The 26,918-nt window shown below is 34.9% G+C and overlaps 1 annotated feature.

Annotated features, from left to right (window-relative positions):
* Positions 19,033-19,233: a silencer, noted in NCBI's record as "peak575 fragment used in MPRA reporter construct". NCBI's record gives its function as "represses an SCP1 promoter by STARR-seq MPRAs in K562 erythroleukemia cells {active_cell/tissue: K562}" and the evidence as "EXISTENCE:reporter gene assay evidence [ECO:0000049][PMID:32103011]".

A 26,918-nucleotide genomic window follows, 5' to 3' on the forward strand; every position in this document is an offset into this window, starting at 1 on the left:
AATCATCAGTGGTAGTTATATGTATTTGTCATTCATCACAGTAGCTTAGTGGAATTACTAATATTTACGGAATAATTTTCATATCCCAACTGCTATTCACAGATTCTTATCTGTTAACCATTTATATGTTCACCGCAATCATAAAGAATAGATGTAATTATAATCTCAATTTTTCATCTGCAATAACTGAGACAAATTGTGTCAGTTTCTCAAATCCGCATAGCTAATAAGTATTTGATGGATTTTAACTTGGAAATCTCAGCTTCATATCCTATTATTTTACCTAAACCTACACATCTACTGTTTTTATCAAGAGCAAGTTGGCTTTACAATTCTATTCTTAACAGTTTAATCTTCCTAAAATAAACTATTGGAGTAGATGTTTTAAAAAATATATTTTATTAATGGAATTATTTTTTATTAAATATTTTTAAAGCCACCAAAAATTATACCTATGTCAGGAAAAAATACCTGGATTGCAAAATAATTTGGATATATTGTTTGATTTTTAAAGGAAAGAACGCCTAGGTTACTTGCTCAGATGTGGCTGTTTTCTTTTAATTTCTGAATTCTGGTGAAATAGCCACCTAACTGCTGGACTTTTTACTGTACCAAGAATTCATGCTGATTACAGCAACCAAGCTATAGATGTGTGGAGTGAGAGAGAAAAGATCTGCTAAACTCAATCAGAATTGATTTGTGAAAAATACTCAACAGTAAGTGATAAAATTATTGAAACTACTTAGTTATAAGGTGTAGTGCCTAACTAGTGGATGGTTTACCCAGATACGTTTTTCCTTGCACATTTCTTAGGGTGACCATCCCCTATTTCTAGATGTAATGCTACAGCAGTAGTTCTGGGAAGCCTAGATAGCAAAATACAGATCCAAGGGAGGCATAACAGGTCCAGAGACCAGGTTCTCATGTAAACTGTGCCAATCTGTGTCCTCTGCTTGGAATTTGTATGTTGGAATGTGAACATTTAGCCTCAGAATAGCTAGTTTCTTGAGTGGAAGAAATGTAAATTTGCAAGATGTTGGAGGCTACTTTTCAACATGTATTCTTGGAAACAGAGTTACCAGTTTGCAGCAAAACAAGGAATTATTGTTTTCAGTTTCATTTTCTATTGTTATCACAGTATCCACTGTGGTCTCTCTATGTCCTTGCCCTTGTATTATGCTTAAACACTTGTATAATTATAAAGCATTCCTTTTTTTGATCAAGCTGGAGTTGGTTTCTGTTAATTTAAACTATGATGCCAAACTCTTATATTAATACTGTAGCTTTCAGGGAAAAACAAGCTGTTCATGATCAACTATATCAGAAATAAAGTTGGAATGTGAATTTTAAAACTTTCAGAAAGATCAAACCCCTGTATTCTTTGGGATGTAAGGAATTAAGAAGAATTGTAAAGATTAATGCTTATGCAAGGCATTTATAGGAACTGAAATTGTAAAAAAAATTAAAGCCTGTTCTGATAATAGGAAACACTGGTTTATCAAAATTACATTGTTCTTCCATGTGTGGCAAAGCCTCTGAAATTACATTCATACTCTGTATTAGGCAAATGAATAAGTAATGGATCCCATGAGAGAAGTCATGTTCTATCAAATATTAGGAAGAGTCATACAAAGTGTGATGTACAGGTTTTGAGAGATGTATCTTTATGTTATTTTGGATTCACCACTGAGATAAGCCTAAAAAGTCTTTGAAACTGAAAAGTAAAGAGGTTGATGGAAAACATCTGAAATTATGACCTTTATCTGATCACATCTGACACAATGGCATAATGTGAGATTGTCCTCAAATTGTCAAATGGACTAGTATCTGTGATTGATTTCACAGTAACATTGATTTTTAATTTTTGTGGGTACATAGTAGGTGGATATATTAATGGGTTACATGAGACATTTTGATACAGACATGCAATGCATGATAATCACATCAGAATAAATGGGGTATCCATCACTTCAAGCATTTATCTTTTGTGTTATGAAAAAATCCAATTATACTCATAGTTATTTAAAAATGTACAATTAAATCATTTTTGACTACAGTCATCCTGTTTTGCTGGCAAATACTAGGCCTTACTCATTCTTTCTATTTTTTGTACACATTAACCAGTTCGATGAGTGAAACAATTTTGTAAAATTCTTGACCTTGTATTGAAAGGGAAAATATTGTTGCAAATATAACATCAAAAGTTATAATTAACTATAGAAAAGTAAAGGAAGTTTGAATGGATATATATATATATTGTCTATGTTAAGTGTGCATGCACATGTGTGTGTATGTCTGTGTGTCCATGTGTGTGCTTAAGTATATATATACACATATATATACATATATATATGTATGTGTTTGTGTGTGTGTGTGTGTGTGTTGCTTTGAACAATGGCTTGCAACAGTGTTCCAAAAGTAGTTGAAAGATCTACCAATTGAAAAGGGAACACTGTTGATTTGCAGGTGGAAGGTAATTGTGAGCAGAGTCCTAACATTTAGTAAAACAAAACTGATGATAAAATGCCAGTTTTCTGGGCATGATGAGAAGCTGGATTTAATTAGTTCCAGATATGCCTGGGAGGATTGAGAAAAGGATTGGTGGTTGAATAATGAAATTCTTGTTCCTGTGACTAGGGTAATTTGGGGTGAGCACTCTCTCATCTTAAAATGAGCAGGTAGAACTGGAAAATCTGTGGAATATTAGCTTGGCCAAGCTCTAAAACTCCATCTGAATCAGGTTAAGAATTGGTGAAAGTCTAATACTCATACCCTGTAAGTCACAGAATAACTATGATAGGCAAAAAAGATTCACCAGAGAGTAAAAGAACCATATACATTTGCAGCCCGTCTGAGATTTGAATTTGGATTAAGACATTTGAATTAAAAGCCTATGTAAAAGATGTAAACATGATCACTTAATCTTACCTGAAACTAATTTTTGAAGTTGTTACTGTGAATTAAAAAAGGAATCTCATTTCTTAGTAACCAAAGAGTTTGTGAAGATTTTTCTTAACTCAATTGGACCTCATATTTCTCACACTGAACACTTTAGAGGTGAAATAAGACACTATGAGAGGGACTATTACCCAGAATGCAAGGGTGAGGACATTACCCTCATAAACAGACCTATACACATTACTCTTGGCTTTCCAGAGAGAGCATAATTCATGTGTATTAATGTTGATTCCATTGTAGAAACCACTGTCTATAAGGGATCATCAGTGTGACAGACATAGCCAGATATTACAACTAGATACTGTTTTGGAAACCATTTTTCTAACACTCATTTCAGAAAATAATTTGTACATCATAATCTTTGCTAAGCCTGTAAAAATTTCACTAGGAGAAGAGAAAAGCAATATAGGAGAAAACAAATGCTTTTCCTAAACAGGAAAAGAAAACCTGCTATTGCATCTGTATCTGTACTGTCGTTGATTGGCAGATTTTTATCATAGGAGTATAACTACACTTTTGCTAGAATAATGTACATTAGGCAGTTAGATAAGAAAGTAAAAGTCCAGGAATAATTTCTGTATTAGTCAGGGCTTTCTAGAGGGCAGGACTAATAGGATAGAGGTATATACGAAAGAGAGTTTATTAAGGAGTATTGATTCACATGATCATGCTGTGAAGTCCCACAATAGGCCGTATGCAAGCTGAGGAGCAAGGAAACCAGCTCCAGCCCCAAAACCTCAAAAGTAGAGAAGTCGGTGGTACAGCCTTCAGTCTATGGCTGAAGGCCTGAGAGCCCTGGCAAACCACTGGTAGAAGTCCAAGAGTCCAAAAGTTGAAGAACTTGGAGTCCGTTGTTCCAGGGTAGGAAGCATCCAGCACAGGAGAAAGATGAAGGCTGGAAAACTCAGCCAATCTAGTTTTTCCATGTTCTTCTTCCTGCTTTTATTCTAGCTGTGCTGGCAGCTAACTAGATGCCCACCTAGATTGAGGGTGGGTCTGCCTTTCCCAGTCTGGCAGCATCCTCACAGACACACCCAGAAACAATACTTTGCATCCTGCAATCCAATCAAATTGACATTCAATATTAACCATCACAGTTGGTATGTAAGAAATAGAAGGATAAAGAATTGTTCTATTAGAAATATAAAATGATAGTAATTGTAATTTGTTCAACCTTGGGATCCTACTGAAAAGAGAGTGGAGGTTGAAAGCCAAGATCTTGGGGAAGAAAAGAGTTGCCTGGATGACACTCAAGAAGACAGCGTTGCAAAGGGCCTATGGTGAGACAGCCAAAAGTATGAGTCTCAGGGCCTGGTATTGTATTAATATTCAGTACTATGCTTAATCATATTGACCAATCTTACCTTTGAGATAAGGGTGGAGCTTAATTACGCGTAGTTAATGAAACATATTCTGCTTTATATGCCACAGTGACCATTGTGAAGTTCTTTCAGTGATGCTGAAATAACTTGATCATCTATTAGTGTACACCAAAATGTCATGCTTGGATATTCTTTGATAATATAGAAAAAACTCTGAATGATAACATAAATGATGAATTAACAAAGAATTTTATAATTTCTAATACTTAACTCATTTATGCATTTTGTCAACCAGTAAATAAATCAGTGATAAAAATAAACTTTATTTTCAATGTTAATCAACCTGATTTTAAATTCATAAGGACATAGATTATTCCATTAGTGTATATTATTTAATCAAAGATTTACAGTTTCACAAAAGTATCTAAGAATATTTAAAGATTATATAATAAGTGTCTGAGTAATCAAAGTTCAGAAACTAATATGAGTCATATGGAAACTAATGTAAATGAAAAATGTAATATAAACTTGAGTCTACAAATGAATAAAATATGAAGAAAACAATGAACTATAACTTTTTAAAATGTGAGAGTCAAAAATCAAAATTAAAATATACTCAATAGAAATGTTGAGAAAGGGAAGTAATTTACACTGGGGAAGGAAGTTGAAAGCAGAATCATACACGATAGCATACTATTCAGCCATAAAAATGAAGAAAATTCTATCACTTTTCACAATGTGGATGAACCTGGAGGACATTATGGCAAGTGAGATAAGTCAGGCACGAAAGATAAATGTCACATAATCTCACCTGTATGTGGAATCTTAAAAAGTTAAATATAAAGAAGTAGCAAATAGAATAGTGGTTACCATCGTCTAGGGGAATGCGGGATGGGAAGTTTTTGGTCAAATGGTACAGAATTTCAGTTAGACAGAAGTAATAAGTTTTGAGATCTATTGCACAACATGGTGACTATATTTAAAAAGAAAGTATTATATATTTAAAAATAACTAAAAGTTATGCCTTACCACAAAAAATGATGAGGTAGTGAATATATTAATTTGCTTTAATCATTCCACATTGTATACATATATCAAATCATACATTGTACCCAATAAATATAATTATAATTTTTCAATTAAAATATATTAATAAATTTTTAAAAAGAAAAAGGAGAGATGGTAAAATGTATAAAACTAAAGATTATCATCTTATGTCTTCAAAACACTTTATTATTTAAAAAAAAATTTTGAGTTTCTTTAATAAATTTTTTTTTTTTTTTTTCAGACGGAGTCTCGCTTTGTCGCCCAGGCTTGAGTGCAGTGGCGCGATCTCTGCTCACTGGAAGCTCCGCCTCCCGGGTTCACTCCATTCTCCTGCCTCAGCCTCCCGAGTAGCTGGGACTACAGGCGCCCGCTACCACGCCCGGCTAATTTTTTGTATTTTTAGTAGAGACGGGGTTTCACCTTGTTAGCCAGGATGGTCTCGATCTCCTGACCTCGTGATCCGCCCGCCTCGGCCTCCCAAAGTGCTGGGAGTACAATTCACATATTCAAGGGGTATGTGTGATATTTTGTTACATGTCTAGAGTGTGTAATGATCAAGTCAGGGTATTTGGGAAAATAATCACCTCGAATATTATTTTCCATGTGTTAGAAACAATTCAAGTCCTCTCTTCTAGCAATTTTAAAACGTATAGTACATTGTTGTTAACTATAGTCACCCTACTCTGCTTTCAGACAGTACAGCGTATATCTTCTATCTAACTGTACATTTGTAACAATTAACAGTCTCTCTTTATCCCTCACTCCTACTCACACAGACTTCCCAGCCTTAAGTATCTATCCTTCTTTAACTTCACGAGATCAACTTTTTTAGCTCCTTCATATGAGTGAGAACATGCGGTATTTGTCATTCTGTGCCTGGTTTATTTCACTTAACATTATGACATTCAGTTCTATCCATGTTGCTGCAAATAACATAATTTCATTCATTTTATGGCTGAATATTATTCTATTGTGTATATGTAACACATTTTCTTCATTCATCTGTTGACGTATACTTAGGCTGATTCTATGTCTTTGCTATTGTGAACAGTGCTGCAATAAACATGTGAGTGCAGGTATCCCTTTGATATACTTATTGTTTTTTCCTTTGGGTAAATATCTAGTAGTGGGATTGCTGGGTCATAAGGTAGTTGTATTTTTAGTTTTTTGAGAAATACCATAGTGTTTTCTAGAATGGCTATACTAATTAGCATTCTCATCAACAGTATATAATAGTATTCTTTTCTCCTCATCCTTGCCAGCATCTGTTATGTATTTTTGTCTTTTTAACACAATCGGAAAAGAAACCAGAGTATTGTCTTTTTAATGTCATTATTATTATTATGGCTATTAGGTTGTGAATTGTTTAATTCATCCATACATATTTACCATATACTTTAATTGCAAGTTTTGAATAATAATTACAAAATGCAAAAAACCTGGGAATATAATCATCCTTCCTATTGTATTAAAGAAAAAAATATGAATACAGCACTAGAATGTCTTATCTTAGATTGATTTCTGCTTCTAAATAAAAATCTTATTCATAAGTTTTCCTTAATAAAATATGATTAAACTTCACATAATATTTGTTTGTATTAATCCTATTTGTGATTTCTTTCGAATTTGATTCTGAAATGCTCAACTTTTAATTCTAACACTGAGATTTGTCTTCTAGCCATCTAACATTTTCATATTTATGTGTGTTTTATTAAGGTAATTATAGTTGAAAAACAAAAGAGAGTAAAAAGGAGAAGACTTTCCATTCAGAAATTACTTTACATGTGGTTTGTGATAGCTCTTTGTATAAAAAGATGAATAATAATAATAATAATAAACACATCAAATTCAGCTATGTGGGAGCAATTAAAAGACATAACCACTATAAAAATTTGTGCCTCTCTCTTCGGTATTATCTTCAGAAATGTTCTTATGAAAACTTACATATAATATCTGAAGATAGACAATAACAGCATTATTTAAGTTAATTTAACTTTGAACGGAAATCTATAATTTCAGCAAACTTTAGTATATTCCAGGTGCTTTTCTGTACGCATATAGGATACAAATATGTAAATGAAAGTTTTGCCTTCTAAAAGCTCACTTTAAAAACTAGTAAACTGACATAGAAATACTCATTAATACATTTAATTAAAAATAATATTAATACTAATACATATATTTGTGATACATTTGAACTAAAGCATTTAAAACAATATAGTTGAAAATTTTCTTCTTGTTCCCATGCCCTATGTACATACAAGTGTCAGCTGTTATTGTAGAGATCACTCATTTTTTAAAGAGTATATTATTTTTGTGTAATAATTTATTTTAGAAAATTATCAGTTTGATTAACTTAATACAATTCATTTTCAGACATGAATAATTTATAATTATTTCACTGACTGGAGAGAGTTCATTAAATTATATTGATCCTGTGGCATAATTGTATATGGAATGATTAATGCATGAAGTTAAATTATCAGTTATTAAAAAAGACTACTGACATCATGTCTTTCATAATTAAGAGAGTGCTCCAATACATAATGTGGGGGTAAATGATGACAATAACTAGATAATTGAAAGCTAACTATTATTAGGAACTGTACAGTAATTGGGAGATAATAATTCAATATACAATGGTTTCCAATTATGTTCTTATTTCTATTTTATTCATTCTCTTGGCCAGCTGATCTAAGTTAGTGTTAATTAATTGGAAAGAATCCTTTATTTTAAAATCGGTTTCATAAGGCATTGAAAGAAAAGAAACAAACCCTTAGTGATTATTTATATGAATGAAAACAATATGATCACATATAACATCTAACATATGATGGCATTTAATGAGAAATACTTTTTTTCTTTGTTTCTGTTTCATTGTTATGGATTTGTGCTGCATGACAAGAAAGAATAAGGAATTTGAAAATAAAGTATTTCCTATTACAAAAAAATATATTGTTTATTACCATGAGGAAAATTTGATCAAGTAAAGCATTGCTAATATCTTTATGTTGCTCTTTCTGTAGTTGCACATTCTAACTATAAATTATTTGATATAAAACTACAAAGTCATATTTATCTTTGTAACTTCATAGCCTAAGAAAAAGTGCTTTTAACAAAAGTAAGCAATAAATAAAAATTTGAATAAAATAATAAAATAGCAAGAGGAAGAATGTATAAATAAACGAATGACCTATGAAATATGTATTTTGGCTTAAGTGAATAAATTGTAATCATTTTAAATACACAAAATGATTTATTTCAAAAAGTAGTTTACTTTCAAATATAGATTGAATGTGAGAAAATTTAAGGATAAATTTATTTCAAACCTGGAGTAAAAATGACATCAATAATAGCTCACGTTTTTTGAATGCTTGCCATGAACCAGTTACTCTTTTAAGAGCCTAATGCATAATCAGGTTTAATTCTGGATATGAATCTATAAGGAAAATGCAAATTTGATTTAGCTTTATGATAATATTAAAATTTACAGATTCTTCATACACACATCTAAGCTTTGCTTACCTCCTTCATTCCTAGGATTATTTAGTTACTATGCCAATAAATTTCACTTTAGCTATCTAATACTCTACTTTTAGTTATTTTAGTAGGTATTACAAAGATTTTAAAACAGATGGAACGGCAACAATCTACCAAATAAGTACACCAAATAAACATCTAATTTAAGTTGAGTGATTTGGGCATAGAAAACGTTTTGCTTTGTATATAAAATACCAGTAAGCTCTTTTATTATATTTATTATATTCATTCTTTTTTTTCTGTAAAGTCAGTACTTAAATGAAACCAAGATATAAATTTCAAGGTTTTGTACTCGAAAGACTTCCTAAATATTCTTGCATCTATTGGAACATTTGTATATTTGACCTGAAATCATTCACAGCAATTTATTTTATTTTATGGACATTTCATTAAGTTTGAGTAGAACATTCTGGTCTTTGCTTAGCAGATTGCTCTCCCAAGCCCTTCTTTGCCAAAGTATTCACATTGATTAATTCTGTTTTGTAAATGACATGCTAAAGTTCTTTTGTGATTATATAACCTGGGTTCAGCTTAAGAAAGGTAAAAACTAGTTTATTAGTCTGTGTTTTAGAAATTTCCTTTACAGAAAATTGCTTCATCTCTTCTCGACCTGCATTGAAAAGAAACTATATACCATGCCAGCTTTTACTGTTTAGAAAGTAAATATGTAATCGTGTAAAATTACAATGAAAAAGTTACGAGTTTGTACCGGACAGAATGATCTTTTATAGAAATACTGTATTTTCTGGTATTGCCAATCTTCCTTCCTAGGTAAGAAAATAGTTTAGCTAATGAAAAATAAGCAATTCCATCTGCTTCAGATGAAATGGCTTAGGGGAATAATGCTGGAGAGAATGAAGCTTGCATGTGTTTGTGTATATAAGGAACAGGAGCTGAGGGAGACACTCTTAAGAATACTGATGACAATGCAATATATGGGGGTCACCATGTAATTTTGCTTGTTTAGTTGATGTTTTGAGACCCAACATAAAGTCCCACTGCACATCTCCAGTAATAATAGGCGGAAAAATGGACACCTGGAAAGAATAAATTATAAGTACAAAAGGAGTCATGATTAATTTCTCCTTAGCTACACTCATGCTGATGAAGTTTTCATAGATTTTGAGACTCTTTTGCCTTGAAATAAGGGAATGGGTTTTGTTTCCATTTGTAAGTATCTTAAAAAAATGCTTTCTTCAATTGAACTATATTAATGGAAGAGTTAAAATTGAAATTGGCTGACATTATTTAAGTTAATCCAGAAACTACTCACAACTTCTATGTATGTATGCATCCATATGTATGTCCGCACGTGCATCTACAACACTCCTATGCCTATATGTATACTGTTGTATGTATGTATTTATGTACACATGTATCTGTATTAGGCTATTCTCACATCGCTATAAAGGAATACCTGAGACTGGGTACTTTATTAAAAAAAAGATGTTTAATTGGTTCACAGTTCAGAAAGCTTTACAGAAAACACCGTATCAATGTCTACTTGGCTTCTGGGTAGGCTTCAGGAAACTTACCGTCATGGCAAAAAGCAAAGCGGAGGTGGGCAGGCACATCACATGGCAAAAGCAGGAGCAAGGAAGGGACATGGGGAGGTGTTACACACATTGAAATGACCAGATCTCAGGAGAACTCATTTTCATAATAATACCAAGAGGAACAGTGCTAAACATTCATGAGAAATCCATGATCCAGTCACCTCCCATCAGGCCCCACCTCCAACACTGGGGATTACATTTCAACATGAGACTTGGGTGAGAGATCCAAATCATATCATTATCTATCTCTCTGCTTATATATCTATCTAGCATCGTATTTTTTTTTTGTATTGGGAAACGCAGTGTAAAATTTTTCAACTTTTCTTTACTGTAATTAAACTAAGACTTTAGTTGCTCCGAAAGAGACTGAAAAACATGCATATACAAACAAATAAAATTTAAGCAGAGTGGAACTCATAATGCTTGGTTAGTCTGCTGAAATCATCAAATATCTCTTATATGACAATAGTGTGTTTTAATACTTTAGTGTTTTGATTATTTAATGTATTGCATGGGTCAACTAATCTACCAAAATGGCAGCTTACTGAGCTTGAGGAAGAAATATATCATCCTTCTGTTGATCCTTTGTCCCCTAGACAAATTGTCTTCTATTATGGTTTTGAGTACATCAAAGAGTGTTTTAAATATTATTCTTGGGATAAAATAAAGAAACAAAGCACTGGGTACAACATTGATCTTTCAGTATTCTCCAGCCTTTTTGGTCCTGGAATAAGACCATGTGGAAATGCAAGCCCAGTTTAATGCCTATGTGACATAGTTGAATTTCTACTGGGCTCTAACTTTGCTTATCTTTAAAAAACAGGAAGGCATGCAGACAGAACTTCCTCCTCAGGAGAACCAGGTAAAAACTGGTTAGAACCAAGATGGTTGACCGAATGGCGTCAAATTGACCTCAGATTTCATTATGTCCTAAATTTCATGCTAAATGACACTTCCTTTAATATCATCACAATTGATAATCACCATGATAAGGACTGGAGGAAACCATAAATGGGCAAAAGGAAGGCAGTACTCTGGTTCTGAGAAGTTTGCTGCCCATTCCCAGAAAGGACATGAATATTTCCCTTGTTTTTAATGCACAACCCTTTCATTAGAAAAAAAAAAAAAACTATGTTTTTTTTAACAGGCAATGACTAATGTGGAAATTCTGTTCTTACAATAAATAAAATGGAAGGGTAAAGAGAAGTGGAACAGTACCCTTTGGAGGAGGACAAAAACCAACTCCTGGATGCTATATGCTTTGGATTCTCAGCAGCCATTCCTATTTCCCCAGGGTGAGGGAACCTAAGGCAGGCAGTAAGTGGTGCACACAGCCCCCTCACCCTCAGGATGTCTATAGCCCTGAGGAGGGAATAAGAGTTTGAGTTCTCAGGAATGACCACCTGAGGCCAAGGAATCCTTTGTGAGGGCAAAACCAGCTGGTGACAGGCTCCAGTGGGCTTCAAGACAGATCAAGTGTTTGCAGATGTAATTTCTGAGCTGTACTTTTACCTCTGGTCCCACACACCGGCCAAATACAAGTCTCTGCACCTGGGACATTTTCCAGAAGCCTCTTTATTTGAGGACTTCTACTCTCAGTCCCCTTCATCTTTGGCTTCCCCAGATAATCTCTTCCTGAAGACTCTACTGCTGACTCCTAATTCTTCTGAAGCTACCACATCTAGGTTGGTGATGGGCTCTAAACTTCCTTCCTCTTTTATGGAATCATAAATGGGCTTGGAGCCAGACCCCACCCCACCCCAGCCCCAGAAATCTCCCTCTCCAAGCTTGCATCTTCATGGAGATGGATAAGGGCATGACCAGGTTGCCAGGACTGCCCAGCTTGGGCAGGCCCTGGGTTCTGCATGCTTCCAGTGGGTTTTGCAAATTTCCTCGAACCAGAAGCCAGAGTCACTTGGGCCATTGGGCTCAGGGCCAGGTAGAGCCTAAGTGCCCTTACCAAGTGCCTGAGTTGGCACTAAATGGCACACGGTGGCCTAGAGGGGTCTCATAGGGAGACAGAGCTGCCTCACATCCACCAACACAGTTTCTTGGAATGTTGAAATTTGGGTTTTCCCATGCACATTCAAAAAGGCTCTACAAGTTCCTCCTGTTGCTCAAAAGACACTGCTCCCTCCTCCCAGGTCCTGCTGAAGCTGCATCTTTGTCTGGGGTAAATACCCAAGGTTCGTCGTCTCATGTCAAGGAAACCGAGTACATGGACACACAAGAAGTGGGTTTAGGAACAGATGTTTGATAGGCAAAAGAAAGAGAAAGGAGAATAGCTCTCTCTCTTTTGAGGGAGAGGGGTGCCCAAGTGGGACTTCTGGGTTCCGGGGGAATGCATCAGGTTTCATAGACTGGCTTGAGGAAGCAGCATCTAATTTACATAGCACCCAAACATTGGTTGGACCAGGTGTGATGTTTATATAGCATGCAAAGAAGTTGGTCATCCCACCCTAATCTTATTATTATGCAAATGGGTTTTCTACTTGGACGGTAACCATGTCCTGTGCTCCTTACTGTACACGTGGTTGGCAAGGAAAAGAGAAAATGGAGCCGCCATGTTGAACATGCCTTGCCCCAGGTAGCCTTTTCCTATTGACTCAGCTGCGATCATTCACCCGTGCAAGCTTCTAGCTTGCCTTTATATGTCTGCAGTTCGATATAGGCTGCTCTTTGTTAGAAAAGAAAATGATTTGGGGGCTGTTTTTCATTGAAAGGAAAACCTTACTGAGGACTTCCTTACCCTGACTATCTGCCTAAATAATTTCTTTTAAACTCCCATATCACTACAAGTAAAAATCTTATATTTGAACCGCCTCACCTCTCACAGAACAAAAAGTTGGTTTGCGAACCACACTTCTACTGCTCCATCCTCTGGTCATTGAATAAAGCCGCAGTTCTTGCCCCTCATTTTCAGTTTTCTGTGTTGGCTTCATGATACTGGACTGAAAAGAATCCCATCTTTGGGGAGAAAAACGACTCAGTCAGTAACATAACTGGCACCCTAGATGGGACTCTGCACTACATAGTCCACCTCCTTGTGTGGAAAGCCTCCTTACCTCTGTGGAGACTTGGCAGCTGGCATTTGACAGCATTAGCAAGCAAAGGACGCACATTCCTTTTTATTCTCAGTGTCAGCGATCAACTTTGTGAAAGGTAATCTCTTGTTCTTGTCAGAGCATAAGTACGCAGGCAAAGGATTGTGCTGGAAAGGACCCCTTGTGCTACGGATGGTGGGGACGCTTGCCAAAAATGACGATTGTGATGAGGATGCTTGGAAGGATCACAGTCTCTTCCTCAGTAAAGGACACCTACCTACAAGAGTGCTTGAAAGTGTGAGAGAGGGGACCAGCAGTTCTGTCCTGAGTAGAGCATCCATTGGAAGTCTTTGAAAGAGGGAGAAAGGAACCAAATGACTTACAGTCTGGACTGCAGGATCAGGAGACTCCCTACTGATAAATGTGTGCATGTGTCCTTCCCTGTTTACTCCTCATAGTGTTTGCCTTCTTATGCCAGTAAAAAACTCCTCTGTGCCAATTTTCTTGCACCAGAGGAGCTTGAGTTTCTCTCTTCTCAAAAATAACCCCTCCTGCTTCTACCTCTGCTCCCTGCCAAAGATCAAAATGGCCTTGGCTGCTCTTCCAAGAAGATGATAATCCAGAGGCTGTGGGGATTAAGGAACCGCTTTTGTTTTGGGGGATTGGATGAAATCTCCATCATGAAGTTAAGGCATGTAGAGGAGACTGTCAGAGACAGGGTTCCAGGGACTCCTGGCTGGCTTTCAGGAAGGCATTGGGACATCTGGGTGTGACAATCAGTATTGGTTTTATGCACAGTAAGGACAATGCACAGTTCAAATGGTTAATTTGCTACTATAGAATTAAGTAGAGTTGTCTAAAGCTCTCTATTTTCCTCTCTTTTCTTCTCTGCCTGGTTTGAATCTGTTGTTACTAAGCTGCTGGTGCTGAGGTAAGACTGATTAGAATTATTATTTATGGTTTACCTGAAATGTAAACATTGGAAACCTGTTTGAAACTGAAGAAAAAGTAAAGAAACACTTTTAAAAATTGAACTACCATACTGACTGCTGTACCCAAACTTTGGTGAAAAGCCTTCCTTGGATTACCTGTTGGGGCAAACAAAGTTTAACCATGCGAATAGGTTCCAGTTTTGTCAGAAAAATAATTTAGATCTACATATATTTTATAAAATGGTGAGTTTTATTGCTATATCATGTCTAAAATCAAAGATCAAAGTTACTGGATTATAGTTTGTGTGTGTATACATGTTTAGATGTATTTATGTGCATGTATATGCATCATGCTATGTTGTGTCTAGCATGCTACCAAATTGGAGTATAAGTAAATGAACACTCATAAGTTAAGCTCAAATGCTTTTCAAATTCATGTGAATTTAGTAACCTTTGGTAAATAAAATAGCTTTACAGTTTTTGGTAAAATAAAACTAAAAATGTCTTCATAATTGTTAGCATACTTTTTTCTGGGCTTACTGATTATTTTATATTTGCCTTTGCTGGATATTTTAAGGTGTGAGGATTTGGCATGAAGATTATAAGATTCTAAACCAAGCCAAAAACAAAATAATCTTTAGGCTTTTTTTTTTTTTTTGACAAATAAGACTAGTAATATTGCTGGTTCAATAAAAAACAACTTAGTCTTCTGGGTTAGTGGTAAAGATACCTAACTATTTAACTTTAAGGTCTTACTTAGGTTAACACTTGAGGTTCACAGGCTATAAGGAATAGTAAATAGAAAAATAACTTGAAATGATGACTAGCTTTGTGTAATATTTCAGTTTTCAGAAGTCATGTAGATAAACTGTTAAAAATAGAAGAATTGTATAAAGATAAATGGGAAAAATTCTTGTAGGTAATTTTCTGTGTAATTTAAAATCTTAAAATTATTTTGAATTAATTAATAGATCCTAGTTAGATTTCCAACTAAAAAGCAAATGTGGTATGGAAAACCATGTTTCTAAAAACTATAGAAGGATTTCATCTATAAAATGCTAATATGCAATAAATGGTTCAAGAATTTTTACTTCTGAGGTTTTCACTAAAATTTAAGGTTACTAAGAATAATAGTTCTAGTGAATATATAATTCAGTAAGTTATGTTTTAATTAAAAAATTATATGTAGTTTGCAGGTTATTTTAAAGTTATTTATAAAACAATGTAGAATAAACACTAAGTAGGAGAGAGAGAGAGAGAGACAAAGTTATGGATATAAAGATATACTTTGGGCAAGAAAAGTTATGAAGAAAAGAGACTAATTTTGCATGAGAAAGGATCTCATATGATAAACTGTTGTTCTGAACCCAAATGACTAGTATTAAGAAAATAGGTAGTATAAGACCAGTTAAAAAGTTCAAATATGTTGTAAATAGTCTGTGTAAATTGTGATAAGTTTCAAGATAAATTTTGAGCCAGGCATGGTGGCTTATGCCTATAATCCCAGCACTTTGGGGGTCTGAGGTGGGTGGATCTCTTGAGGCCAGGAGTGTGAGACCAGCCTTGCCAGCACTGTGAAACCCCATCGCTACCAAAAAATACAAAAATTAGTTGGGTGTGGTGGCATGCTCCTGTAGACCCAGCTGCTCAGGAGGCTGCGGCAGAAGAATTGCTTGAACCTGGGAGGTGGAAGTTGCAGTGAATCGAGATCATGCCACTACATTGCAGCCTGGGTGACAGAGTGAGATCCTATTTCAAAAAAAAAAAAAAAAGAAAAAAAGAAATTTTGTACGTAATCAGGTTGGCCATACTTGAAAGAAAATTATTTATAATAGTCTTTCTAAATTTTGTTCCTCTATGTTAGAACAAGGTTTACATCAGATATTGATTTGCTCTTAACAAAATTATAAGAGGATTTCACCAATTTTTAAATTCTATAACCTTTTACATACAACTCCCTTATCTCCAATAGCCTCTGCCATCAACACACTCTCTCCTTGCCAATCACTCTCAGACTCCTCAGAGGAAATCAGTATGGACAATACCTAGGGCACAATATCTTACCAGCCTTCCTCTATGATGCTCCACCAGTAGGTTCCCAATGGGGAAAGAGGAATGGTTACTGTACATGTTCCCTCTGCAACTTCAGATCTTTATAACTGGAAACCTCATTCTAAAGAACAGAAAGAGAACCTGAGGAGTTTCAAAACCTCATTCAGACCCAAGACCCCCATGGGGAAGACATTCATTTCCATTTGAATATTTGAACATTCTCCTCCCTAGAACAGAAAGAAATCTCTGTTATGAGAAGGAATAGGGAAGAAGCAAACCAAGCCCATAGGTACAAGGGAAACAATCCTGCTAAGAGTGCAGGGAATGAGGCTGTGACAGACCTTGACTTCCTTTGGGACTCTAACATAGGGATGGGGAAGGCAAGACTCAGGCACTATCAACCGCTATTGTTAAAGAGAATAGAGGCCACAGGGAAAAGACCCGCTAACTGGCATAAACTAAAAGAGACTAATTGAGGACCCCAGGAAAGACCATCTATTTTCCTAGAAAGATTGAGGAAAAATATGAGGATATATACTCCTCTTAATCCTGATTCAGAAGACGAAGAGGCAATTCTAAAATCTGACTTTGTCTTTCAGAGCATATCAGATAACCCTGGATTTCTTCAGAATCATTCACTCTCCACCTCTTATTATTCTGGCTTATTCTAGACTCAATTTTCCATCTGCAGAATTAACACAAAACAATGCCTCTTCCCTCCTCTAGAAAACTCACCTGAAGTAAATCTCAAACAATACTGAAATCCTTTCTGGAAACTGTTTAAGAGGCAAGATTTTATAAACAAAGGTTGATTTAAAGAAAATATAATTTTACAAATGTAAGCTAAAGCCTATCAAGATGAAAACCAAGCTCAGAGAAAGAGTCATTTTATAAGTTTACAATTGATAAAATTATCAGAAAAAAATTGAGGGGAGAAACTCAGACCTGAAATTATAATATGGTAGTAATCTGCAACTGCTTTGTCCTGGAGAAGATACAATGAAAACAAGAAGATTATTGACTTCTTAATGAGAAGGTTTAAATTCAAGTTTATGATTCCATATGAAGGAAATACACATGTTCTTTAAAACAGAGAGCTTTATATCTTCCCTGTTCCCTACCCACCAGCCAACAAGGAACCATCCATATGGATCTGTTATTGTTCTTTCTACTCCAAGAAGCAAATCTCCAGGAACTTCATCATACAGGATGTCCTGGCTTCTGGCTTTCAGTTTTCTTTGACTGATGTGAGGCACTGGCAATAGATGTGGATGTAGGAGATAGAAGTATGGCTTTGCATTTACCCTTCTTCCTTGATTGGTTGTGGGTCTGGCACGGCCTGTGTTCTACAGTCAAAACTCCTCTTGGGTAGTTCCTTGTCTACATTTTCAGCCTTCACTGGGTGCAGGTAGCAGCTAACTTGGGGCCCTCTACTTTCTCCTTTGGAACTGCGGTGATAACTGCTTTGCACTGTTGCTCATCCTCAGGTGCCTTTCCATCTTTCTTCATCAACCTTGCCTACATCTCTGAAAATAAGCATTTCTTTATAATGTTTTCAGTTAAACCCTTCGGAGCATACTTTCTGATTTTTTTCTGGGAGCTGAGCTGAAACAGCCATCAAGTGTCAGAGCCTGAATTCAAACCCAAGTTGTGTGGCTAGAGAGCTTGTTCTCTTAAGGATAGCTATGTAAGCACAGGAGATGCCATTTTACTTTAACTTGAGGCCCAATAGACTCAGTCTCTAATGTGTGTGTTTGAATTTTTTTCTTCTCTTTAGTGTGTTTATCACTTGATTTCTCAGAGAACACTTTCTGCTTACAATATTTCTTAATGTAAGTGCCACTTGATGCTGCAATTCTCTATCTTTTGATCTCACCCATCTTACCCAAGAACTCTGGATATATGTTATCACCAGAGCCAGCTTACTCGGTGATGGGAGTGTCATTTAAAATCTTTTGATTGTAAGAATACATTTTCTTCCTGGAGTGTAAATAAGAATGGATTTCCCATTGTACACTGGATAATGTGCTTTCATATCCCCTGGAAGCAGCAATTCCCAGTTTTTAACCAACAGGCTACAGGATCAGGAGAAGCCTTTACAGTCAGCTTTAAACAACGTTTGTTCTTGATCTAACAGGTATATTTTTAGCTCTCTGCTCATAACTCAGGAAGAGGAGTTAAATTTCTGCTTTAAAATTGCTGGTAGTAAATTTAAACACACTAAACTTTCCATGACACCTCTTATTTTTATGTCACCATTATCTTTATAGCCTGGCCTTTGAAGGGACTGATAACTCTAAGAGACTTTGCCCTCTTTTGCCAGAGCATGTGCTTAAAGAGATATGAGGTGAGGTGTTTTAAAATAAAAATATAAACTCTATTACAATGTGTATAGATATTTATAGTATAAACTATACTATAACTTAAAATTGTTAAATTCATATTTTATAAACATACACATATGTATAAACAGGACTCTCTTCAAAATTGGGAAAATAATCAGCCAATATAATAAGGTTAAAAGATACACTTAGTATTTTGAAACTACTGTAAATGGGTTAAGTTTGAAGTTTGGGTGCTAGAGAATGTTGTTACTTCTATGAGACTGTGAATGCATGGATCATGTCTTAATGCTGACACCTACTACTGCCACACAATTTAGATAATAATAGCAAAAAGAAGATAACTTGCAAATTCATTATGCCTGCTCAAATATTCTTGTCAGCTTTAGGTTTCAAGACTAATGATGGCTAGGCACGGTGGCTCACGCCTGTATTCCTAGCACTTTGGGAGGCCTAGGCGGGTGGATCGCCTGAGGTCAAGAGTTCAAGAACAGCCTGGCCAGCATGGTGAAACCCCCTCTGTTCTAAAAATAGAAAAATTAGCCAGGTTGTGGCAGGCACCTGTAATCCCAGCTACTTGGGAAGCTGAGGCAGGAGAATTGCTTGAACCCAGGAGGCGGAGGTTGCAGTGAGCAGAGAACGGGCCATTGCACTCCAGCCTGGGCAACAGAGCGAGACTCCTACTCCATCTCAAAAAAAAAAAAATTAAAAAAGACTAAGGATGGCCTTTTACTCTGTCCTCAGTGCTGCCCCAGACTATTCATGTTTCCCTGCATTTTATAGATTGCCAACGTTGAGAGGGACGGTATGGCCTTGAGGAGGCCATACAACATAGCATTATAATTTTTCTTTTAGAACAAGTAATATCACTCAATTATAAATGCCACCTAATCAAAACATAAGCTCTGACAATTCAGATTCTAACCTCTCCACCACTGGTGTAGATTTACTGAGTGGAAGGGAATATGCTAACAAAGAGTTAGCTCCAGGTCTCCAAACAGAGAGAAACTGTTCTCCTCTTAATACATTCATTTCGACTAGTTAACAACATAAAGAGCTGAATGTTCCACCACAAAACTTGGGTTGTGTTATGGAACTTCAATAGAAATGTTTCAGGAAGCATTTCTCTAGGGGGGGAAAAAAAGCAGTCTGGTTATTGTAGGGATAGATTAAGAAACATGTAGTTTGTTATTTTATGTTTTTTGTAGTTTCTATGTAAAATTTGTTTTCTTGATAATAAATTTGGAAAGCATCATGAATTATATAAATATATTACATAATATTACTGTCTGAAATTTGAAAATCAAAATCACTTCTAATTTTTATTTTAAAGCTAGACTTATATTAATCATAGCAACTATTTGTGTTTGCACAATAATCCTTAACTATTATTGAATTGTGAGATGTATTTATAAGTTATGCCATTAAGCTGAATCTAAGCTGAAAGTTTTTTTCTGACACAGAGCAAGTAGTATGATAATATGTTTAAAATTGTGACTTGAGAAGGGGTGTGTGTGTGTGTGTGTGTGTGTGTGTGTGTGTAGTGGGGGGAGAGAGAGAAGAGAGATAATTTTTACTAAAAAAATGATAAAAAATAATGTCAGATAGTAGAACAAACATGATTTGACAATGATATCAGAAGCTACAAGGGATATCAATAAAGAAAAAGAGAATGTCCATGATGAAGACACTATGAGTTGCCACTCTCCCCACTATTTCAATTTAGCACTTTTGAATAAAACTCATCTCCTTACCTGAGATTCATAAGAAATATTTTACCCAAACAAAAATGATATTTAATGGAAAATGTTTATGAGCAGCATTAAAATGCAAACTATTTATAATATCAGAGATTATATTAAAATAATTACAGTTATCAACCTTTATTATTTTAAGTAATTATGGATATGTTTTTTATTTTATATATATAATATTCAGTGTATTATTGTAATTTTAAAGACAGTCTGTTTACGTAATTACAAACTAGCATGCTATGCCAAATACTGTGAAATTAATTACTGAATGAAATATTTATAAACATCCCCAAATTATTAGTATATTTCAATAATTTATACTTCATGAAATTTTCCATATATTCCTTTGTACTTACCATAACAACTTTGTTAGCTATTCAAAACAGAAAGACAGTCTTTAGAAGGTTCATTGAGTTGTCCAATGTCTCACAGCTTGAGGAAGATTTGGCTAATATCCCAACCTCTGTCACCTACTTTAATGGCACATGATATTGCATCACACCATATGACAAAACATATATATTTGGTGATAGTATCACTAAGCACACATCATTTAGGACACAAGAAAAGTGATGGTGCTTAATGATGCAATGCAAATTCAACAAATCCACATGAAACAATAGCATAATTTCAGCCATCATTTTATTATCAGTATTTATTCATTCAGAAAATACTTATGAAGGAACTTACTACATGTTGGCCCCATTGCAGGTGTTAGAAATGCCATAAAACAAATCAAATACACAAGTATCTGCCTTATAGAATGCATATTTTATTGGAAGAAAAAGGCACCAGAGGAAAGATAAGTCAATGTATTATTCTGGATAGTTGTACGTGATAAGAATAAATCATAACAAAGCAGGGAACAGGAAGCTTAAATATAACAGAGTGACCAGGACCTTACTAAAAGGTTTGAGTGAACACTCGAAGGGATAACACCTGATGAACTAATCAGTATTCAACTGGAGAAAAATAACCAGTAGGTGAAAAATATTGAGATACTTATTGCAAGATATTGGGTTATGAACTGTGAGGGCTGGCTAAGAAAACCTGGAATAAATAGAGCAGGCCATCAGGAAGGGCATTGCAGAACTCTTGGATATGAGAGCTAAACTTGTTATCCAAAGACCAAATTTATTTTTCTGGGAAGCCTCCATTCTGTTCTTAAAGTGTTTCAACTTGTTAAATCAGACCACTTAGATTATTGAGGATAATCTCTCTTATTTGAAGTCAGCATGTTATGGGCTTTAATCACATTTAGAAAATATATTCACAGCAACCTTAGATTACTGTTTGATTGGGTAACTGGGAACTGAGTCTCACCACGTTGATGGACAATATTGACCATCGCACTGGGGGAAAATATTCTAGGCAGAGGAATGGGTTAGTGACAAAATTCTGAAGGAAGACGTCTAGCTTATTCCTGGAACAAGAGGGCCATGTGTTTTGGATGATGTTTTAGTAAGCCCATGCTGCTACAACAAAATATTATAGGTTAGGTTCTTTATAAACATTGTAAAAAATGAAATTTACTCCTCACAGTTCTGGAGGCTGGTTGGAGTCTGGTGAAAACCTATTTCCAAGTTGCAGACTGATGATTTCTTGTTGTACCCTCATGTGGCACAAAGAGAATGAGAGAGCTCTCTGGGGCCCCTTTTATAGGGGCACTAATCCCATTCTTGAGAGATCCACTCTCATGACCTAATCACCTCCCAAAGTTTCTACCTCCTAATACCATCACACTGTGGCTTGGATTTCAACATATGAATTTTGTGGAGACACAAACCTTCAGTACATTGCAGATCAAATGAGTGACATGGAGAATGGTGGGAAATTAAATAAGAGGGAAAACTAAATGGCTCGATGAATGTAGGGTCTTGTGGGTTATAGTAAGAAGTTGGGTTTACACTCTCAGGTTAGACATTGCGGGGTGCTGAGAGGAACTGATATGATCTGAATTATACTTTATGTTATCACGCTGGCTTCAATGTTCAGACTAGACAAGGACAAATGCATTGGGAGGCTAGACAATAACTCATGATAGCAGTGAGAGTGATGTGGAGTTTAAATATTCAAATTGTATTTTGAAAGCAGAGCCATAAATATTTGCTGATGGACTGCATAAGAAATATGAGTAAAGTGTAAAAATAAAAGTCATTCCAATATTTTGGCTACAGCAACCATTAGCAAAGAAGGGCAAGACTTTATGAACTTTATTTAGCAAAAGTCAGAAGCTCAGTTTTGCATTTGTAGCATGTCAGATGCCTATTAACTATCTAAATTAAGATGCTAGATTGGTGGTTGTATATATAGGTCTGGAGTTCAAAGACTGTATCCCAGTTGAGATTCATCAGCTTATAAATAGGGTTTAAAGTTGTCAGTGTGAATCAGAAAACGGTAAGAAAAGCAAGACATTAATGTATATATTTTAGATTTTTAACTTGTCCTATTTTTTAAACCTTTTATGGCTTCTGATTGATTTTCAAGGTATCATACATACATAGTAATTTGAAATGTTCTATATTGTATAAAATGACATAAAAGTCACTCATCTCACCACTCAGGTCATGAATAATATTAAATTTTGACATGGTTTCTTACAAATTCTCTCTATACATTTTATTTCTTCAATGCCTTGAAATCATAGAACATATGAATTTTTCTAATAATTATTTTGCTTAAAATTACATTTAAATATTACTTTAATAGCTGTATAATATTCTATTGTATGTAATAGTTAACTCTTCAATGTTTTTATTTACTTTTTTATTTCTTCTGTGAAATGAATATAGTTGCAATGATTCATTCATAGCTATAAAAGTTTAATTATAGTTATATAGTATAATGCATTGTTATACAAATTTAGTCACAATTTTCACCTACTCAGTAATTGACAGAAGAGTTTGATAGTATGTTTTACGGTCTTGTTAATCTGAAATTCTAGTTCATAAATGAAGATCAATATTTTAAAGGTGTGTTAAGTAACAAAAGCACACACAAACCAGAAATGTGTGTGTTGTAAATGAAAAGAAATAATCTCTTTTCAGCAAAACTAAGCAATCGAAAGTGATTAGAATAGCCTGTTCACTGCAGCAGAATGATAGAGACTCCGTGTAATTTAGATGGCCTACTTCCTAGAAATAAATGAGAAAAGCTGCTTAAATATGTGTGGCACCTAAGATAGGGGAAATGATGTCTAGACGCTTTTTTATCTTCCTATTTCATGAGTAGAAAAGTTCTCAAACATCCTCAAACTTATTCTCACTAGACATGCATCTAAGGCCTAATTCTCAAAACACCAATTTCTGAGCTTTAACCTACCAAGGAATCTTCCATCCCTAGTGAGCAATTTCTACTTTTGCAAAATGGCAGAAAATGTCACATTTGACAACTACTTACAAAACTTAGTTTCACTCAAAAGAGGGCTATTTGTGAAAGAAATTCAAACACATACTGAGACCTGTTAAAGTCTAAAATGAGATTGAAACAAGTCTTTTTGAGCTGCTTGAGATCTTTTTACTCTATTGCCCTTTGGTTTCCTACATCATTATTGTTTTGGTTTTGCTGAATACTATTTCTTTCCTCATCTAACTGCTGGTTCCTGCCACTTTGATCCTTGCATAAAAGCATCCAGTCTATGATGAGTCAGTTTAATTTGGTACTTTATCCAGGAAATCCTTTTTTTCAAATTTCAAATTGTATTTTAGATTCTTACTTATATGATGGCATTGGTATTTTCTCATCAACTTGTGGGATTGTTTTAATGGGGCTGTTGCTGAATAAGTGGCAGGTGTGCAAATAATTGCTTCCAAAATAATTAATTTCCTATAATCTACCTAAATGTAAGGGGTATGATATTTCCTTGATGATACCAACAGTTCTGAAAAAAAAACAAATGCAAAAAAAGTGAATATTATTAATATCTAATTGCAAATAATACACATCAAAACTAAAGCCTGGGAAGTCATTTTAATGTAAATATCAGTAAAGCCAAAAAATCAAGACTCATGGATTTAAATAAGAAATCAGTTTAAAGAGATATATATTCTCTAGCAAAATTTTCTTCAGGAGAAAATGAAATACTTATGTTAGATACCATACATGTTAGCTCTCTTATTAGTTTATCTACACTGTTAGCAATACAATCTGGTTTAAAATGAGAAAACTTCCAAATCTGTCATTTGGTAAAACCACCTCAATTTCAACTGAAATACTCTCAAAAACCAAAAGTGAAAACCAGAAAACACCAAAATAAGGCCAATTATCCCAGCAAACAAGGTAGGCACACAGACTAATTTAAATTTTCATGGGCTTGGATGATAGTTGATTCATAATATTAGTATAATTTAATTCATCTAGTATAGTACAGTGCTACATAAGACTCATATTTTATGGGGAAAAATGCTATGTTTTTTAAGAAAAATCTTTTTGTTTCAAAAATGAAAACTTTTTTTTATTAAAATAGGCTTGTCTCCTTTGAAGAGGCAAATCTTAACAGGAGAACCTAGAGTTTATTGATAATATTATTAAAAGCAGAACAAGGAATGGTTCATGAAAGAGAAGGAGAGAAGCTAGCTATAAGAAAGGAAATAGCACATTCAAGGGTCTGAATTTAGTTTATAAATTTGAATGAATTTCCTACATCAGCCGGTCAAATTTGTATTACTTTTAAATGAGGGAATTAGATTTGATACCTTCTAAGTCTTTACAGTTCTCAGGTTTAGTAATTCCATGAAAACTGGTAAACGTTTGATATGATTTGGATCTGTGTGCCTGCCCAAATCTCACTTCAAATTGCAATTCCCAGTGTTGGAGCTGGGGCACGGTAGGAGGTGATTGGATCATGGAGCCAGTTTCTCATGAATAGTTTAACACCACTCCCCTTTGTGCTATTCTCCTGGTGGTGAATTAGTTCTCATAAAATCTGGTTGCTGAAAAGTATGTAGCCCACCCCCCACTCTATTCCTCTTGATCTGGCCCTGTGAAGTCCCTGCTTCCCCTTTGGCTTCTGCCATCATTGTAAGTTCCTGAGGCCTCCCAGAAGCAGAAGCCCATATGCTTCCTATACAGCCTGCAGAACCATGAGCCAATTACACCTTTTTTCTCTTTAAATTACCCAGTCTCAGGTATGTCTTTATAGCAATATGAGAACAGACCAATACAATCCTGTGTTATTCAAATATCCAATGAAGAGGGGGTGAGATAGAGATGATGATGGTGGGTATTAAAGAGCTGGGATGTAGGTCAAGGAGCAGTGTTCCTTTCATGGGATCTGCCTTACATATTCACAAGCCGATCTATTGCTAGTGTTCTGAATATTGTAACCCACTATGTAAATGGCAGTTATTAGCAGAGCATTTAGTCATCTTTGGAGTCTAAAATTATATATATGTATATATATATGTGTATATATATGTGTATATATATATGTGTATATATATATGTGTATATATATGTATATATATGTGTATATATATGTATATATATGTATATATATATGTATATATATATGTATATATATATGTGCATATATATGTGTATGTGTATATATAAATTTTTTTTTTTGAGACTGAGTTTTGCTCTTGTTCCCCAACCTGGAGTGCAATGGTGCGATCTCAGCTCACTGCAACTGCTGCCTCCTGGGTTCAAGTGATTCTCCTGCCTCAGCCTCCCAAGTAGCTGGGATTACAGGTGCCCGCCACCTCACTTAGCTATTTTTTTTGTCTTTTTAGTAGAGATGGGGTTTCACCATGTTGGCTAGGCTGGTTGCGAACTCCTGACCTCAGGTGATCCACCTGCCTCGGCCTCCCTAAGTGCTGGCATTACACATGTGAGCCACTGCGCCATGCTTAAAATTATATTTTTATTGCTTAAAAGTGCTTTGAAATTATTATTTCTGTGGTATTTAAACATCAAGGATTATAGCCATTGAGAAAGAAAGTTCAAACTAGAACCAAGCTAAGTACAGATAAACAAAAGAATTGAAGTTCAAATACTGGTTCTGACGATTAGTAAACATAAAATCTTCAGCAAATTACTTTCTCTTTGTAGACCTCATTATCCTCACCTATAAAACAGGAATAATAAGATTTGTATTAGAGAAGTACTGTGAAACTCACATGAGATATTTATGAAAACATTTTCACAAGTGCATATAGATGCATGCTTCTTAAATTCTCTTAAATTCTCAACTTTCCTCTGACCTTCACCATCTTATCCATTTGTCATAGATATCTGTTAAATCTACTTCACAAATATCTCTCACATCTCATCTTTTTCTTCGCCATAGTTTAGTTTGAGCCTTCATTACTTATTTTAAACTGAGAATGTAAACTAACAACATTATATACCCACTTCTGGGTATATATCCA

Source organism: Homo sapiens, chromosome 1 (assembly GCF_000001405.40).
Source record: "Homo sapiens chromosome 1, GRCh38.p14 Primary Assembly".
In the NCBI taxonomy this organism is placed as follows: Eukaryota; Metazoa; Chordata; class Mammalia; order Primates; family Hominidae; genus Homo; species Homo sapiens.